The sequence below is a fragment of the Homo sapiens genome, chromosome 8 (genome assembly GCF_000001405.40).
Source record: "Homo sapiens chromosome 8, GRCh38.p14 Primary Assembly".
NCBI classification, from domain to species: domain Eukaryota; kingdom Metazoa; phylum Chordata; class Mammalia; order Primates; family Hominidae; genus Homo; species Homo sapiens.
The window spans coordinates 133,435,209-133,452,886 of record NC_000008.11 but is presented as its reverse complement, the minus strand read 5'-3'; the positions used below and the strand labels follow the sequence as shown (position 1 = coordinate 133,452,886).

The window sequence follows — 17,678 nt, the reverse complement described above, 5'->3', positions numbered from 1 at the left end:
AGCCGTCCTGCCTGACCACAGTGTCACCTAGCAGGGTAGGGGGTGGGGGTGGCCCTGTCCTCCAATGTCCAGTCATAGGAGCCTCCCCGCTTGTCCTCCCAATGCCTCTGGCAGGTGGTTTATTCACACAGGATTCACTGAATGTCTGCATGCCACAAAAGGAAATTGTCTGTGTGCCCTCAGAGTCTCCTCCCCTACTAGGGGACAGAGGCTATCTGAGGCATGTCCAGGAAGCTGATGCCCTAGGGGACCTGGAGAGGAAATATCTATGATTCTCCAGGCCTTCCTCGCCTGCTGGGGAAGAGCCAGCCTCTGCTGTTTCCATTGCTTCATTCAAGGATTCTGGGGGTCATTTTCAAACACCTGTGGGATATTACCCTGATGACATTCCCTATAGCAATGATGGTAACAATGTATCTATCTGCCCTGCCCCCTCCCTCCCTCTGATGCCTGTGCTGGGCCCAACCATTCCTGGAGAACAAGGTGAAGCTTCATCCACGTGTCAGAGTCAAAGCTCTCCTGGTCATTTTCAGCTGAAACTTGAGGTCCTCATAGTTCAGCAAATTCCAGGTTACCTGCTTCTCAGAGATGCAGCTGTTACGTGCCCGTATCCCCCCAATATCTTGCAAGTGCTTGACTCCAGTCCTACTGCTAGAGACTGAATTGTGCCACCCCCACCCATGCATATGTTGAAACCCTAAGACCCTGTTGGGGTGGTATTTGGAGATGGGGCCTTTGGGAGGTAATTAAGGTTTGATGAAGTGACTGGGGGCTCTTATGATCAGGTTAGTGCCCTAGAAGAGACCCCAGAGACTTCTTTACCATGTGAGGCTGCAGTGAAAGGCAGCCATCAGCAGCCAGGAGGAGGGGCCTCACGAGAACCCCACCACGCTGGCTCCCTGATCCCAGATTTCCAACCTCCAGAACTGTGAGAAAATACATTTCTATTTAAATCAGTGATCTATGGTATTTTTTTAATGGTAGCCTAAGCTGACTCACATGCCCACACTAACACTGCCACCATTTCACAGGGTAAGGGACCTCAGGCAGGCAAGGGACTTGGCCTCTTTGAGCCTCAGTTTCCCCCCTCAAAATATAGAAGTAATAATAACACCTGCCCTGAAAGGTTGCTGTAAGGGGTAGACTAATGACCCATGTCTGCCAAGCAGGGGACATGGAGTAGCGGGCTGCAGATGGTGGTCGAGGAGGGAGCTTGGTGCAGGGAACCATTTTCTCCCTCTCCCCAGCCCTAAGCCCCCCGAATACGGCAGCTCTGCCCTCCTCTGATTCCCTTGGAACTGCACCTCCTGCAGGTGGAAAAGACTCAGCTGACTGATCAGACCCTGGGGCCCTCAGCTCAGTCACCTCTCAGCTCAGCTGTGAAAAGCAGAGGCTTCCTGTTTTCTGGGCCCCCACGTGGCTCCATGTGGCTCACCTTCCAGGCTGATGGGGCTGCCGCAAAGAGGAGGTTGTGTTTGGGTATAGAAAGTCAGTTCAACTGGATGAGATAACGAGCAGGGACATTTTGCTGCAATTCTAAGCCACATGCCCCAATTCAGCTTGACTCAGAACACAGCTGCAGGTGGTTCCTGAATCAATCCCTCCATTAGCTCAGAGCCCATACTGAGGGTAATGGGATTGAGGCCCTAAGACCCCACCCACTTGGAGACAGAAATCTGGGCCTCATCAGGCTATAGATCACGAAGCCCTGGGTCTGCATGTGGCCTGCAGGGAGTTGAATGAGATGGTCCAAGGAGCAAAATACAGGAAAGGAGGTTAGAAGAAGCAGCCAGGGAGGCCACAGGTCTCTGGCTTCGTGGTGCCTCTGAGGCTATAGCAAGGTCACTTCAAGGAGACTGAGGCCTTGCCCTGGTGACGCCTGTCCCCAGAGAGGTGAAGGGGCACCATGTATGGCCTGGGTAAGAGCAAGCTCTCTTTGGGATGGAGGTGGAAACTAGGCTGGAATAGAGTAATAGCTACAAAGACCCATGTATAAGGAGTGAGTAGGGCACTCCAGCAGTGTACCAGGAGAGAAACAGGGAAGGGCCATGAGGGGTGGGTGCAGGGTTAAAGGAGAAGGTCACATATTTGAGGAAGGATGCTTTGTCTAGCAGCAGAGACTGCAGCAGACTTAAATGCTGTCCAGAAGGAGCCAGTAGAGAGAGGAAGATGCAGCAGAGAGAAGGAGGAGTGTGGAGCAGGGCCCTCGAGAGGGAAGGGGCTTGGAGGGACCCCCGCCTCCATCACAAGAGGATGGTGAGGGGCCGGGGTGGGGATCCAGGCAGGGGCAGACAGCTTTAGCGGCACGAAGCTGAGGTCATTGCCGTCTGATAGCTTCCTTTTCCCCTAGAGTTGGGGAGATAAAATGCTGAGCTGAGGCGAAGGCAGGAGGAGAGAACAATGGAGGAACGTTTTCCCATGGACTGTGAACCGTCGGAGAAAATGACTGTGAGTACAGGCAGCTGGTGGCTAGGGTGGAGGGCCGGGTTGAAGTTAGAGAGGATGCGTTAGAGGGCGCCATGACTGGGTCATGGACACCCATGGACAGTCACAGGCCCCAGCAGTCAAAGACCGGGGTCCACGGATAGACCCTCTCTGCAAACCGGGAACAGTGATTCCGGGGGTGTCTGCCTCACAGGACTGTGATAAGCGAATGTGCTTTATGTATATATTTCACTTGGCAAATACGCACTGAGGGCCATGGGGACTAGAGATACAGAGATGGGCAAGAGAAGGTCTCTGCCACCAGAGTGTGAGAGTTAGTGGGGGGACGGGCGGGCAGCCAGACAGCTGCAACACCCATGAAATAAAGGAGCTTTTAATGACCGCGGCTGGTTCTTTTTCACACGCTGGCAACGGGGGCTGAGTGCTTTACCTCCATTAAGCTCGTTTAATCCTGCAACAATCCTGCCAAGAGGCATTGGTCTCTCGAGAGGGGAATTTAAAGAGGAAACTGAGCTTCACTCAAGGAGGTTAAGTGACTTACCAGGGGGTTAGGGATGTAGCCAGAACTTAAATCGCAAGGGCTGGGGTTCCTGAGTCCCGGGTAAAGATTGCAAGTGCGCCATACTCCCCAGGGGTGTGGGGACAGGGGACGGTGTTGCTCCAGAGAAAAGCACTTTGAAGATGAGTGCCCATGGCTGGCTCACGGCGACAGAGCTGGTCCGGCCCAACGGCCAGGTTTATTCATTAGGACCTTGGCCAAGAGCGCCTGGTGATGGTGGCCACCAGAGGGCGCAACGGACCCACCTTCCACCAGATTCAACATGGGGTTTGGTTGGGAACCAGACACAAGCTGAAAACCTCAAGGGAAAAGCCACACACCCACGTGTAAGGCCAGAACTTAAAAGAACTTGATCTTAGATAGTAACAAGGACAACACCTTCCAGATGAGGAGATTATATCTCTGTCATCCAGCTAACAAAATAGATTGAGAAGAAGTCTGTGTCCAGTTGGAAAATGTCAAAGCCCCAAGCAAGGGTGAGTGTCTGACCAGCTGCCCACGGCTTCACAGGGCCACGTGGCACCACCGGCTCCTGCCTGCCCAGACCTCCACACCTTGGTGTTTCTACTTGGCCTCCCTCTCCCACCCTTCATCCTTGACTCTGCAGTGATTTCTTAGCTGTGTGACCAATGGGGAAAACCTGACTTCTTTGAACCTCAGTTTCTTAATCTATAAAATGGGTATAAGGTGACATAGTATATATTAAGGAAAGACGGCAGGCAGACTTTTCTGAGTCCTTTCTGTGTGCCAAGCATTTCACACGCATTTTCTCCTTTAATTCTCACAACAACCCCCATGAATGACATGGGGGTGGTATCCTCATGGAAGATCTGAGGCACAGAGACTATTAGTTATGTGTCTGTAGCCACAGTTCATAACTGATCAACCAGGGTTAAAAACCAGGTCTGATTCTGTCTCAGTCAGGACAGAAGAGGCTGCTGCTACAATACTGACAAACTCCACAATCCCAACAACCTAAGATGGAACAACAAAGGTTTCTTCACTGCCGGGTCAAAGTCTGATGGAAATTGCAGTGTCCTACGTGAGCCCTGCATGTGGCGGCTCAGGCTACCCAGCTGTTTTCATCTTGGGACATTGCCAACTTCAACTTCAGCATGTGCCTTTCAAGGTCACTGCACAAGGGGAGAAGGAGATAAAGGTGGCTTGTTGGCTCCTAACTCTCCCCATGGAGTCGATACCCATCGCTTTCAATCAAGCTCTGGAGCCAAAACCAGCTACATTGTCCAATCAAAGCTGTAAGAAAACTGGAAGGTGCCTTGGAGCCTCCGGAACAGTGGAGGGGCACTAACCAGCTCCCTCATGCCTCTCCTCGATATCACAGGCCTGGACTTGGAGCCGACTGGTGAGAGGCTCCTGGTGCTGCCCTTGTCAGTGCTGAGCGAACACAGGCCGAGTGCTCCATTCTGCAGGCTCAGTGGGACAGACCAAGGCAGACCCTCGGCAGGGACTCCAGGGGACAGGAGTGCTGCAGGCTCAGTGGGGTGGACAGACCAGGGCAGGCCCTCGGCAGGGACTCCAGGGGACAGATGTGCTGGGATCAAGGCTGTTTACCCCAGTCTCAATCCCTGCCTCCTGCTGTCTGAAAGGCTGGTGTGCTGGATAGGAGCTGGGTGTGCTCCTGGTGGCCTCTGGCCCCTTCTGCAAAAGCCTGTTCCTACTGCAGACTCTGTGATGGCTGGGCTGCTGTCTCATGGGGAAGTGAGCTCTGTCCTCAGAGCCATATGGGCAAAGGCTGGAGAGTTGCTTTTTGGAGATGCTATACAGCAATTTGGACATCAGGGAAGAAACAATGGAAAGAGAGTGGGTTCTGCTAATGAATCCAGGCCATTTGCTATTTTGCAGACAGCTGGCTGCTTCCCTACACTGGCTTCTGGTGCCTCCGTTTCCAAATCTGTACATTGGAGGGCTTGGAAAAAAATCAGTCTGTCTTACAATTTTTTGCCTAATTGCTCACTTCCCAGGATAGTTACAAAGAAGTTCACTGAGGGTAGAAATGGTGTTCTTTTTTCCCTTCTGAATGTCCAGCACCTAACACAATGCCAGGCACATAGTAGGCGTGCAAATAAAAATCCTGTTTATTTAAGTAGAATAAGAGCTAACATCTGCTGAGTATTTCACATGTTTCAGCCCATTCTCAGTGTTTGCATGAGGTCACCCATCTGCTTCTCACATGACCCCGGGGACAGGGAGCCTCACTGACATGCATGTTTTACGGAAAAGAAAACAAGTGCTCTGAGAGGTGGACCACCTCGCCCAGGGTGCATGGCTGAGCAGCCATCGCCGCGAATGTGAACCCGGCAGTCAGGCTCAAAGCTTGAGTTCCAAACCGTACCATTGCAGCATCCCTGAAACAGCCATTACACATGCCTTCAAGACACCTGATGCTGTGTTAGCACCAGCAGAGATCGAGCTCCTGGAGAGAAAATGTGCCTGAAATGATATGAGCCCTGGCTAGTGATGATTCGCACTCCATCCCCCTCAAGGTCGTAGGGACGGAGAATTTCAGCTTTGCTCCAGAGGCACTACAGTGGTGGCCCCTGTCAGCTGGTTCATCACCAACGAGCCAGCCCTGTCCAGGGAATACCAGGTGATGCCAGAAGATTCTTTTGTCCAAGAGCACTGAGCAGCCCCAGGTGGAGGAGTGTAGCAGGCGGCAGGGAGAGTGCTCATGCAGCTCAGAGATGAGAGTGTGGTCACACCAAGCTTGTTGCTGAGGGTAAATTAGGAGTTTACCAAAAAGGTGCCCTCCAGTGACTTCCAGGACACGCCTCTGTCCTTGTTTGCTGTTTTCTTCTCTGATTCCTTCTCAAGCACTTCGCAGGTCCCCCACTGTCAACACTGCCTTCAACTAGTTGCACTCGCCAAGACTCCATCCCTGGCCCATTTCTATAAACCACAGTCACAGCACACTCTTCCTGGCCATGGGTACCCAGCTCCCCATTTTCCTCTCTTTCCTTACTCGGGTTCCCACATCTATAACCTTCTAAATAGCTTCTCTTGGATGTCTGAAAACTCTCAACAACCACAGGCCCATGCCACCATCCTCATCTTCCCCTCTCCCTTGCTCCTGCTCCGTGGGTCTCTATTGCAGGCACACTGACCCCCCTGGTATGCCAGGCAGAGGCCAGCTCACCATCCTGGATGCTCCCTCTCTCTGATCCTCCATGGCTGCCCCATCACCAAACTCTGTCCATTCTGCTTCTGTAATCTCTAATGAGATGATATTAAGAACCTACTAGCTACAGATTTCCTTTTCTGCTACTTATCTTACCATGTTCCAATCCATTCTCTACACAGTGTACAAACAAATCTATCTAAATTCCAAATCTGATTGTATCTGTCAGCTATTTGCCATAGTAATGCTGCATAACAAACTATGAGACTAGTTACCTGAGAAGGCTCTGCTCCAGGTTTTTGCTCACTTGCACTTACCTTCAGCCTGCAAGGGCATCCAGGTCTTGTCCACTCATCACTCTTTGTCCAGAACATCCGCATAATGCAGGAGCACAAGGATACAAGTCCCACTGGTAAAGCACATTTAAGCCTTTGTGTTATGTCCTCTTAAATCAGGTGAACTGAAGAAAATCACATGATGAGACAGATTAAAGATGACCACTTCTCTGACATTCCTCCCATCGAGTGTTCCTTCAGATTCCCTTGAATCTGCACAAGCTCCTTTGACTCCTTCAACTAATATAAAATGGCAGGGAAGCCTATGCCAGTTTTGGGTTCAGGCCTTAAGAGTCTGGAAGCTTCCAACTTCTGTTTCTGGGGACACTTACTCTTGGGAGCTGGCCATGACAGTGCAAGGAAGCTCCAGCAGCCCCACAGAGAGGACCATATGGACAGGAATCAAAGCCAATACCAACTCACCAACCAGGTGAGGGTGCCATGTTGGAAGAGTATTCTCCAGTCCCCATTGAGCTGCTCCAACTGCTATCATGTGGAACAGAGATGAATCATGCCCACCAAGACCTATCCTAATTGCAAGTTTGTGAGCTGGGTAAATTAGTTTTTTGTTTGGGTTTAGTTTGTTCTTTTTTTTGAGCCACTAAGGTTTGGAGTAGTTTGTTACATAGCAATGGATAACTAGAAAAGATAGCCCAGCGTCAATGATGAGGAAAGACTCTCTTCGCACTAGGAAGCCACGGCAAGGGTATAGCTGTACCCCATTACAAGACACTGGGGCCACTCATTTAATTTACTGCAGTGACTATGTTGTTCATATGCTCAGACTTTCACTGGCTCCCCCATCAAGATAAAGACCAAGACTTGCACACACTTGGTGGGAATATAAATTAGGACAGCCATTATGGAAAATAGTAAGGCAGTTCCTCAAAAAATCAAAAAGAGAACCAGCATATGATCCAGCAATATCACTACTGAGTATATATCCAAAAGAAATGAAACCAGGATCTCAAAGAGATATCTGCATTTCCATATTTATTTCAGCACTATTCACAGTAGCCAAGATATGGAATTAACCTAAGTGTCCATTGATGGGTGAATGTGCAGAGAAAATGTGGTATATATTCACAATGGAATACTAGTCACCCTTTAAAAAGAAGGAAATCCTGTAGTTTTTGACAATATGGATAAACATAGAGGATATTATGGTAAGTGAAATAAGCCAGGCACAGAAAAACAAATACCACATGATCTCACTCATATGTAGAATCTAAAAAAGTTGAATTCATAGAAGCAGAGAGTAGAATGGTTATCAGAAACTAGGGGTGAGGTTGACTAGGTGTGCTGGTCAAAAGATACAAAATTTCAGTTAAATAGAAGGAATAAGTTTACAAGATCTATTGTACACTATGCTGACTATAGTTAATAACATTGTATTGTATTGTTGAAAATTGCTAAGAGAATTTAGTTTTTCTCACCAAAAAAGTTTTCTCGTGACACACTAAAAGATATGATGTAACGCATATGTTAAGTATATATTATATATGTTTATATATTAATATATAAATATGATAAAAGTACATACATATATTTATGTAGAAATATAATAAAAGTATATAAATATACACATAATTTTGTCAGGTACAAAAACATGTTTAAAAGATGATAATGGACTTCTCAAAGCATTTCATTCATTCAACAAATATTTATTGAGTGTATACTAGTTTCCATCTTAGGGTTGGCAATATGGCAATGAATAAAACAGACAAAACGTCCACCATCTTGAAGCTTACATTTCAGTGGAATTTATCTGTCTTCAGTACATTCATTAAAGGACAGTGACATGGTGGCAGATATAAAGGCTTTGCAGCAGATCACTTGTTAGTCCTGGTATCTTTTCTTAGACTTCATGTTCTTAGCTGCAAAATAAGGAAACTTATACAAGGGGTATTTAAAGGGTTAATTATAAGCAATGTGTGTATACTTAGTAGATATGCAAGAATTTACTTATCTTGATAGACATTACTTTCTTATCTAATACTGAGGAAAAAGTAAAAACCAAACTCCAAAGAGAGCCAGGAGCTGGTTCCAGCCAACCTTCTTCCTCACCACATTCCACAGGCCCCATCAGTGAGGCAACAGTCCCTGAGGGCCCATGTTGCACTTCACCTCTGGGACTCAGTGCCTGCTCTCAGTATTTCTTAAAGTGCTCTTCTCATTCTCCTTGGATTGGCCAACTTCTGATCCGAGATTTGATGTCATTTCCTCCAGAAAGTCTTCCATGATTTCCCCATAGGAGCACAGAGACCTTCTAAAGGATCCCAAGCTTTCTTATCACGTAGTTGGAGTCATCTCAGTACTCATCCATCTCTAACCTTAGCCTGGGGCCCCTGAAGACCAGGACTCAGTTTGTACTTGGTACGATGTCCTCAGAGCCTGGAACGTGCTTGGACCAGAAGGGGCACTTGAGCAACAGGAGTTGTAAATATCCAGTGAGCACCTGCTCCACCAAGCACTGAGCTGGGTGCTTCCAGGAACCACCTCTAGTCTCCACAGCAAGTAAAAACATTGTTCGCCTCATCCTACAATGAGGCCCTGATGGAGCAAGGCTACAGGCGCCAGGGGTCCGGCACTGCACATGGAGAAGGAAGTGCGCCAAGACATCCCCAGGCCCTCCCCATCTCAGTTCAGGCCAGACTCCATCATTGCTCGGTTGCTTAAGCCACGAGGACTTGCCTTGAGTCCACTTTCTCCCACCAACTCCCAAACTTCAATCCATCCCTATAATCTATGAGATCATCCTCCACAAGATGCCATGTGGTTTTCTCTCACTGTTCCAGCCCATTGCCGTTTTCTGTCTTACCTGTCCTGTGCCAGCGCATGAGGTTCTTGGTACCTCACCTCAGTGCATAGTATGCTCTCGGTGGATATCTGTTCCCTCCCTTAGATGATGGAAATAGGGATTCAGAGGGTTGTTGTGAGGATGAAGTGAAGAATGGTCGGTGCTTGTTGCATAGCGAGCACCAAGCTCACTATGTGGTGGCGGTGGAGGTGGCAGTGGCAGCAGTGACATTGTTCATGAGATGAAAAATGAAAAAAAAACAAGACTCAGAAGGCTCAATAACTTCCCAAATTCACAGAGCCAGTGTGTGGCAGGGCTGTGAGCAAGACCACATCTGCTGGATCTCAAAGCCCAGGTGTCTTCCAGCAGCATAGCGGAACCCCAGCAGAAGCAGAAGATGGAGGTATAGCTGACATCTTCTCTTTCTCTCTGGAGCCCACATGTGACCAGACTTGGTAATCCAGGGTAGTGGGATGCCACAGGGGTTGGCAAGCATTTCGTTACCCCAACAGAAGAGGCAGAGGAGGAAATAGGCTGCATGCTTCCTGAGCTGGGCCTGGTGGGGGGTGGGGCGAGGGCAGCAGTATTCGGGTGATCTCAATTCTGTCCTGTGTGAATGGACTGGATGGACAAGAGCCCATTGGCTTGAGGACAGTGGAAAGGAGGCTGGAGAGCTGTCAGCTAAGAAGGGGACTTGCCTCCTGCAACCACCAACAACCTCCCTGCACATGAGTGCCTCAGTCTTGGCTGCAACCTCTGGGGTAGATAACAGTTGGTTTGGCCCTTACCTGAGGATTCAGATGCCCCACAAGAACCTGGGGATAGCTACCACATCTATTCATTCCAGCCAAGTTCATTGGTCTCAGCACTGTAATAGCTGTCAGAGGCTCTTACTGCCCTGATAAAATCCTTGCATTCTCCCAATGGAGATGGCCAAACTAGCCACCAGAAGACAGTGTGACAAGTGACCAAGGAAGAGTACAGAGCCTGAGTTTGCCTAGAGAAGTCATGGAGGACTTCCAGGAGGAGGAGGACTTCCAGGAGGAAGAGGCCATTAGGCTGACATGTGAGGGATAAGAGTTAGCCAAGCACGGAATGGGGAAGAGAGTGTGCCAGGCAGAGGGAAGAGCACTGTGAAGTCCCAGTGCTGAGGGAGAGTAGGGCACAATCACAAGGCAGATGATCTTCGTACCAGTGACCCTGGGAACAAGGGAAGCAGTGGCAAAAGATGGGAGCAGGGGTGCAGGATCCAGGCCCCTTTGGGTCTTTTAGGAAAAATGGGCTTTATCCCAAGAAAACTGGGGGCCACCAAAGGGTGCAGAGTGAGGCCAACAGGGAAATCTTAAGGGCCATCACAAAGAAAAACATTGGAGTGGTAGTTGAACGTGTATTTGAATAACATGCACATTTTAAAAATGTCTTTGCATTCTTGCTCTCAGTTAAGCAACATCCCACAAGGAGCAACTAAGTCAGCACGGGCTCTGGCAGTGAAATATCTGCCTCCACTCCACCCCGAGACTTAGGATGAGGGAGCCCAGGTGCAGTGTCCAGCCTACTTCTCACACTCTCCAGACAGTCTGACTCGTATTGGGATTAAGGGAGGAAGCATGTGTCTCCCCAGATGGCCTGGAGATCCTGCAAAACCAGGACTACCCTGGATCCCCAGAGATGAGGGGAGAGACCGGTTCAGGCACATAATGTGTGTGAGGAATTGAACTGGTTTGGACTGAATCAATTTATAATAGAAAGGCCCGGCCGGGCGCGGTCACTCATGCCTGTAATCCCAGCAATTTGGGAGGCTGAGGCGGGTGGATCGTTTGAGGTCAGGAGTTCGAGATCAGCCTGGCCAACATGGTGAAATCTCATCTCTACTAAAAATACAAAAATTAGCTGGGCATGGTGGCACATGCCTGGAATCCCAGCGACTTGGGAGGCTGAGGCAGGAGAACCACTTGAACCCAGGAGGCAGAGGTTGCGGTGAGCTGAGATCATCCCATTGCACTCCAGTCTGGGTGACAGAGTGAGACCCTGTCTCAAAAAAAAAAAAAAAAAAAAAAAGGAAGGAAGGAGAGAGAGAGAGAGAGGGAGGGAAAGGAAGGAAGGAAAGAAGGGAGGGAGGGAAAGAAAGAAAGAGAGAGAGAGAGAAAGAAAGAAAGAAAGAAAGAAAGAAAGAAGGAAGGAAGAAAGAAAAAGGAAGGAAGGAAGGAGGGAAGGGAAGGAAGACCCAAGTTCAAGTTCAAGCTCTGGGGCTTTTTTTTTTTTTTTTGTCACAAAGACTTGGTCAGGGGTTAGCTGCACTCCCAGGTTCAATGCCCCCCTCCCCCAGGTGGGCAGTGGGCACCCAATAGCTTCGAGGACGGCCAGCTCTATTGTTCAAAAGAGGGCAGTCTGAGATGCCTCACCAATAGCCACCTGGGCATCCCAAAAGAGCCCAAAAGCTCCAGAAGTTCTAACTGGATTCTCTTACAGAAATACAAGGCCATTCCTCTTTCTTTTTGAAAAAAGAGAGAGAGAAAGAAAAGAAAAAGAAAAGAAAGAAAAAGAAAGAGAAAGAAAGGAAGAAAGAAAAGAAAGGAAAGGAAGAAAGAAAGAAAAAAAGAAAGAAAGAAAGAAAGAGAAAGAAAGAAAAGAAAGAAAGAAAGAGGAAAGGAAAGAAAGAGAAGAAAAGAGAGAAAAGGAGAGGTGAGGAGGGGAGGAGAGAGGAAGGGAGGGAAAGCCTGGAGGGCGGGAGAGTTAAGAACCCAGTAGGTGGTTCCTTCTTCCCCCCTCCTTATATATGCAGGTGTATTTTAACAGAATTGCAATAATAGAGGGTGATGTATTTTTTGGATTTTATTTATTGGCTTGTTATTCTATAACCATTACTCTCCACACTGAAACATTTCCCAATCCCCTTCAACAGCAGTGAGCACCTTCATCTAGGAGATACACCTTATTGAACATTCACTGTGCACTGCACTGCATGTGGTGTTATGGAACACAGAGAGAGGCCCTTGGTCCTGGCAGTCAGGGAGTCGGGGGGTTGGTGGGTGCTTAGTGGGGGAACATTATCATTGAATGAACAAGCCTGATAGGAAGGGGGCAGGATGCCTCAGGGACCCAGAAGACACCTCTCACTGCTAGAGGAAGCCCAGGCTGATGGAAGGAGACAGAAGGGCTGGGTGAGATGGGAAGACAGCAGTAGTTAGCCAAGTGAAGAGGCCAGAGAAGGATGTCCAGGCAGGCAGAAAAACACATGCAAAGCCCTTCTGCTCCTTCATTTCCGCCTCTTTAAAGTAAAAATGACTGTACCTCCAGAATAAATTATAAAATACATGTAAATGTTTTGGGAGGCTGAAGCAGGAGGATCACTTGATCCCAGGAGGCTGAGGCTGCAGTGAGCCATGATCATGCCACTGCACTCTAGCCTGGATGACAAAGTGAGACGCTGTCTCAAAAAAAGAAAAAGAAATAGAAAGAAAGAGAGACAAGAAAGAGAGAGAGAGGGAGGGAGGGAGGGAAGGGAAGGGCATGTAAAGCTCTTAGCACAGTTGCTAGAACATAGCTAGTGTCCTAAATAAATAAATAACAAACAGTAAGTAAGGCAATACAAAAGCTACTACTACACAACTTTTTAAAATTATTTCTAACTAGCATTATAAATCATTTTTTAAAAGACAACCTGAAGAATGGGAGAAAATATTTGCAAATCATAATAAGGGCCCAATATCCTGAATACATAAAGAACTCTTGAAACTCAACAATAAAAAGGCAATTCAAAATGGGCAAAAGGTGTCAATAGTCATTTCACCAAAAAAGATATATAAATGGATGACAAGTAATTAAAAAGATGTTCAACATATGAGTCATTAGGAAAATACAAATCAAAACTACACTGAGGTAACACTTCACACCCACTAGAATAGCTATAATAGAAAAGATGGAAACTAACAAGTGTTGGTGAGGATGTGGAGAAATTGGAGTCTTTGTGCATTGCTGGTGGTAATGTAAAATTGTGCAGCTTCTGTTTGGCTGTTAAACATGAAGTTCAAAAAGTTAAACATAGAGTTACCCATATGACCCAGCAATTCTACTCCTAGGCATAAACCCCAAATAATAGGAAACAGGTACTTAAATAAACACATACACTATTCACAATAGCCAAAATGTGGCAACAATCAAAATGGCCAATAGAAGAATGGATAAACAAATTATGGCATATACAGTCATCACCCAGTTTCTGTGGGGAAGTGCTTCTCGGATACCAAAATCCATAAAAACAAAATCCATGGATACTCAAATTAGCAAATTCTTGAGTCCCTGATATAAACAGCTGTAGTATTTGCATATATTGTGATCTATGCTCATCCCCCTGTATACTTTAAATCATCTCTAGGTTACTTATAATACCTAATACAATGTAAATATTATTTAAATAGCTGTTATACCATATTGTTTAGGGCATAATGACAAGAAAATATGTCTGTACGTATGTAGCACAGATGAAAATTTGTCAAATATTTTCAATCTGTGGTTGGTTGCATCCATAGATACAGAATCTACAAATAGGTAGGGCCGACTGTACCATAAGATGGAATATTATTCAGCCATAAACAGGAATGAAGTACATGCCGCAGTGTGGAGGAGCCCCAAGAACATCATACAGAGTATAAGAAGCCAGGTAGGAAAAGTCACATGTCATATGATTCCATTTATATGAAATATCCGTAATTTGTAAATCCATAGAGACAAAAAGCAGACCGGTGGCTGACAGGGTTGGGGGAGGGAGGGGTGTCATGGGTTGGGGAGAATGAGGAGTGACTGCTTAGTGGGGACAGGCTTATATTTGGGGTGGATGAAAATATTTTGGAGCTAGATAGAAATAGTGATTACACATTGTGAATGTACTGAATGCCACTAAGTACTGCGCTTCCAAATGGCTAACAGTATGTTATACACATTTCACCTCAACTTAAAAAACAACTAAAAATAATAAACAAATTTATATTTATTATATTAAATGCGAATCTTATATTATTATAATATTCATGTTATGAATATAAATATTATATTAAAATTTTATATATTTTCTGATTTGATAATGAGCCCTATGAGACAGGCAGAGCATGTGTTAATAACCCCTTTTCATGGATGTCAAAACCTTGGCCCAGGGTGGTTAGAAGACGTGCTCAGAATCTCACAGGGCATTAGCAACAATAGAAAGCTTAGATAAAGCTAGCCCCCTTACTGCTTTTGGGGAGAATGTAGGGGTCAAGCATCTCCATTGCTGGGCCTCAGCGCCAGAGGTTGGGGAGACAGGAGCCTGTTGCAGGTTGAGTCGCAGGGCAGCTGTCCAGTCCTGTGCTCGATGGGTGGGAATTCTTCTAGAAGCCCCGATTAGGGGGTACAGGTTACACATTCCCAGCAGCAGGCCTTTAGAATAGAAAGGAGCAGAGAAAAATAAGGAGGGAGGGTCAGAACAGGAACAGTGAGAGAGAAAAGCTGAGCCCTTCCATTGTCCATTGGCAGAGGTTTCATTTGAGTTTCTAAGGAAATTGGAGCCCACAGAATTGTTCCACAAATAGAGCTTTGATTGTATTGCACGTCCTGGAAATCAGGCTTCCTGTTACATAAACGTGGCTTCCCTTTACCCGCTGAACTTTCCGAAGTAAGATGGAAAATGCAGAGTGCACCGCCACTCTGGGCCATGATTGCGTGGTCAGTGGGAGTCTCGTTGCCCTGGCTCACGTAGACACAGTGAGGGTGGGAGTGTTGGAAAAAGCAGGGCTGATCAGATTATCCCTCTGGCTGAATTCTTCCCAGAGCTCCCAACCCCCTGCAAAATCAAGTTCAAGCTGTAGTGAAAAGGCCCTAAATTCTTCTCCCCGAGGGCCCTGTCCCCCAGCCCTGCTGAGCTAGTTGCTGTGGCTGCCAGCGATTGTCTCCATTTCTGCTACTGGACTAGTTCGTCCAGGATGGGAGCAGCCTTCCGGTCTATGAGAAAATCATCCCCTGCCCGTTCCAGCCTTGGCTGGAGCATCAGTCGCCTCTTTCTATCCCTTATCAGGCTTCCAGAGCTGCCAGGACCACTATTGCTCTCATTTGATCAGAACTGTTTCTCTGTTTCTGTCTACCTCCCGTAATGGGGAGCTTTGAGTTAGAGATGTGTGAGTTTTCTTTGTGTTCTCAGTGCCTGACACAGTGCCTGGCATCTGGTAGGAGCTCAGTAAGGGCTGGTTGAATTGAAAAGGGCATCGCTTTTTAAAAGTTGGATGGATAGGTAGATGGGTAAATGGAAGGATTGGAGCTGAGTGCAAATGAAAGGGGACTAGAGGTCAAGGTCAGAGACTCCTTCCCACATTGATCCCAACTCACTGGGAAGCCATAGGACCACCCTGTTTCTCCTTGGACCCCAGGTCTCCCATCTGTAAGATATGGGGTTTAGGCAGCATGGTCCCTCAAAGCCTTTCCTATTCTGATCCTCTATAAGATTTGGAGCCCATGTTCCTCAGTGGGATGGAGGGGACCCTACCAAGGCCAAAGGCTCCAGTCAGGGAGTTTTGGACAGTTGCCTTCCACGGAAGGGTCCACCTGGGGTAGGGAGGAGGACCAATCTAGATCCCTGGGGTTCTTTGCTTTAGACTCGCATTCTGACTTTTCCCTTATACTTTAGTGTCCACCATTGTATCTGCTTTCTTTGACTCTTGCAGAGAGCCAGGGAGCAGGGGCCACCAGCTCCACATGTAGGGACGTGCAGTTACTTACCCAGGGGCTCCCAACAACATAACACTGCTGTCCTTTGTTGGACTTTGAAGGTATCTGTTGAAATGCAAAACTGATCTAGGAGAAGGAGCTCAGTAAGTCCAGATGCCCAGGACCCCTTTGTGTAAATTACCTAGCACGCTCTCCTGAGTCCCTAGCAGGGCACAGAGGGTTGAGAATAGAGTTCACATATGTTTTGAAGGGATCAGGCTGGGCAGGGAAGCTCCAGAATGCAGTGTCCTGCCAGTTTGGGTGCTATTTGAGGGCAAGGGGTCCAAGGAGTGGCAAAGTGAAGGATGAGGGTGGACAAGGGTGTGGGGGAGTAGGAGGAAAACAGGGTTGGTATCCAGGGATAAAGAAAGGCATCAGGAGAGTCATTCATTCCAGCCTGCTCCCTCCTGTCCTTCCTACCACTGCACAAGCAACTTCCCACCTTTGAAATCTTTGATAAGCCAGAGGTCCTAGTGAGATCCACAATATTTGCCTCTTGCTAACCTCTCCCAGCTCCGTGGCTCACATCGCCAGCTTTTCTCATCTCGCCCCTGCGGTGCCCCACATCTCACCACTCTCTCCACTTGTATGTCTCCCGTGCCCTGTGCTTTTGTCCCGGCTATTCTCTGCCTCTAATGCTCTTCCCCACACTCTCTACAAGATCAACTCCTCCTTGTTGAAGTATAATAGAAATGCCAGTTCACCCCTCAGTCAGAGCTGGTTCCTTCTGTCCTCTGCCCACCTTGAGACTAATGACAGTGCCCAAGTTAGAACTCAGTGTAAGACATTAAAATAGTGTGGTCTCTGCCACCTCTTACCTCCCCATGATACAACACACAAGGACTTTTAGCTTTGTGTCCCCATGCTTAACACACTATCCTGCACTTAGATTCTTCTGTAATATGCGTAACAGCCAATATGTGTCGGGTGCAGACTAGGCACTGGGCCAGGACTTCATATGGAAGAATTTATTGAACCTTCACATCTACGGGCAGGGCTGTGGCTGGCCCCAGACACTCAGAGGCACCCTTGAATGGTGAACAACCTGCGTGACTGTCCGTGGCAGACCTGCCTGTCATATAGACATCATAATCATCATCATCATCAACACTATAGTTGGCATCACCAGCTGCACTGTAAAAAATGAGTAATAAGAGGCTCAGAAAGGATTACAGGCGAGGTTGTTCACGCCAGTAATCCTAGTACTTTGGAAGGCCTAGGCAGGCACATCACTTGAGGTCAGGAGTTCAAGGCCAGGCTGGCCAACATAGTGAAGCCCTGTCTCTATCAAAAATACAAAAATTATCCAGATGTTTTGGCGGGCGCCTGTATCCCAGCTACTCAGAGGCTGAGACATGAGAATTGCTTGAACCCAGGAGGCAGAGGTTGCAGTAAGCCAACATCGCGCCACTGCACTCCAGCCTGGGGGACAGAGCAATAATCCATCTCAAAAAAAAAGAGGCCCAGAAAGCTTTAGTATCTTGCCCAGAGTCACAGAGCTAGTCAATTACTAGTAATTGACTAGCTCTGTGATGACAGAGTAGTAGCAAATGACAGAGCTGGATTTGACCTGGACATCTGACTCTAGAGTTCAAGCTCTTGGCTATTATACTATGCTTTGCTGTTTTCTACCGTGCTTGGCTGCCAATGTGTATGATCTGAATGTTGGAA

The 17,678-nt window shown here is 47.5% G+C and overlaps 2 annotated features.

The window, feature by feature from the left end:
• Positions 3,218–3,267: a silencer, noted in NCBI's record as "silent region_19563". NCBI's record gives its function as "represses an Ori minimal core promoter by ATAC-STARR-seq in GM12878 lymphoblastoid cells {active_cell/tissue: GM12878}" and the evidence as "EXISTENCE:reporter gene assay evidence [ECO:0000049][PMID:35858748]".
• Positions 3,439–3,597: a silencer, noted in NCBI's record as "fragment chr8:134461533-134461691 (GRCh37/hg19 assembly coordinates)". NCBI's record gives its function as "represses an EF-1alpha promoter that drives an FKBP-Casp9 reporter gene in an ReSE screen in phorbol 12-myristate 13-acetate-treated (for megakaryocytic differentiation) K562 erythroleukemia cells {active_cell/tissue: K562(+PMA)}" and the evidence as "EXISTENCE:reporter gene assay evidence [ECO:0000049][PMID:32094911]".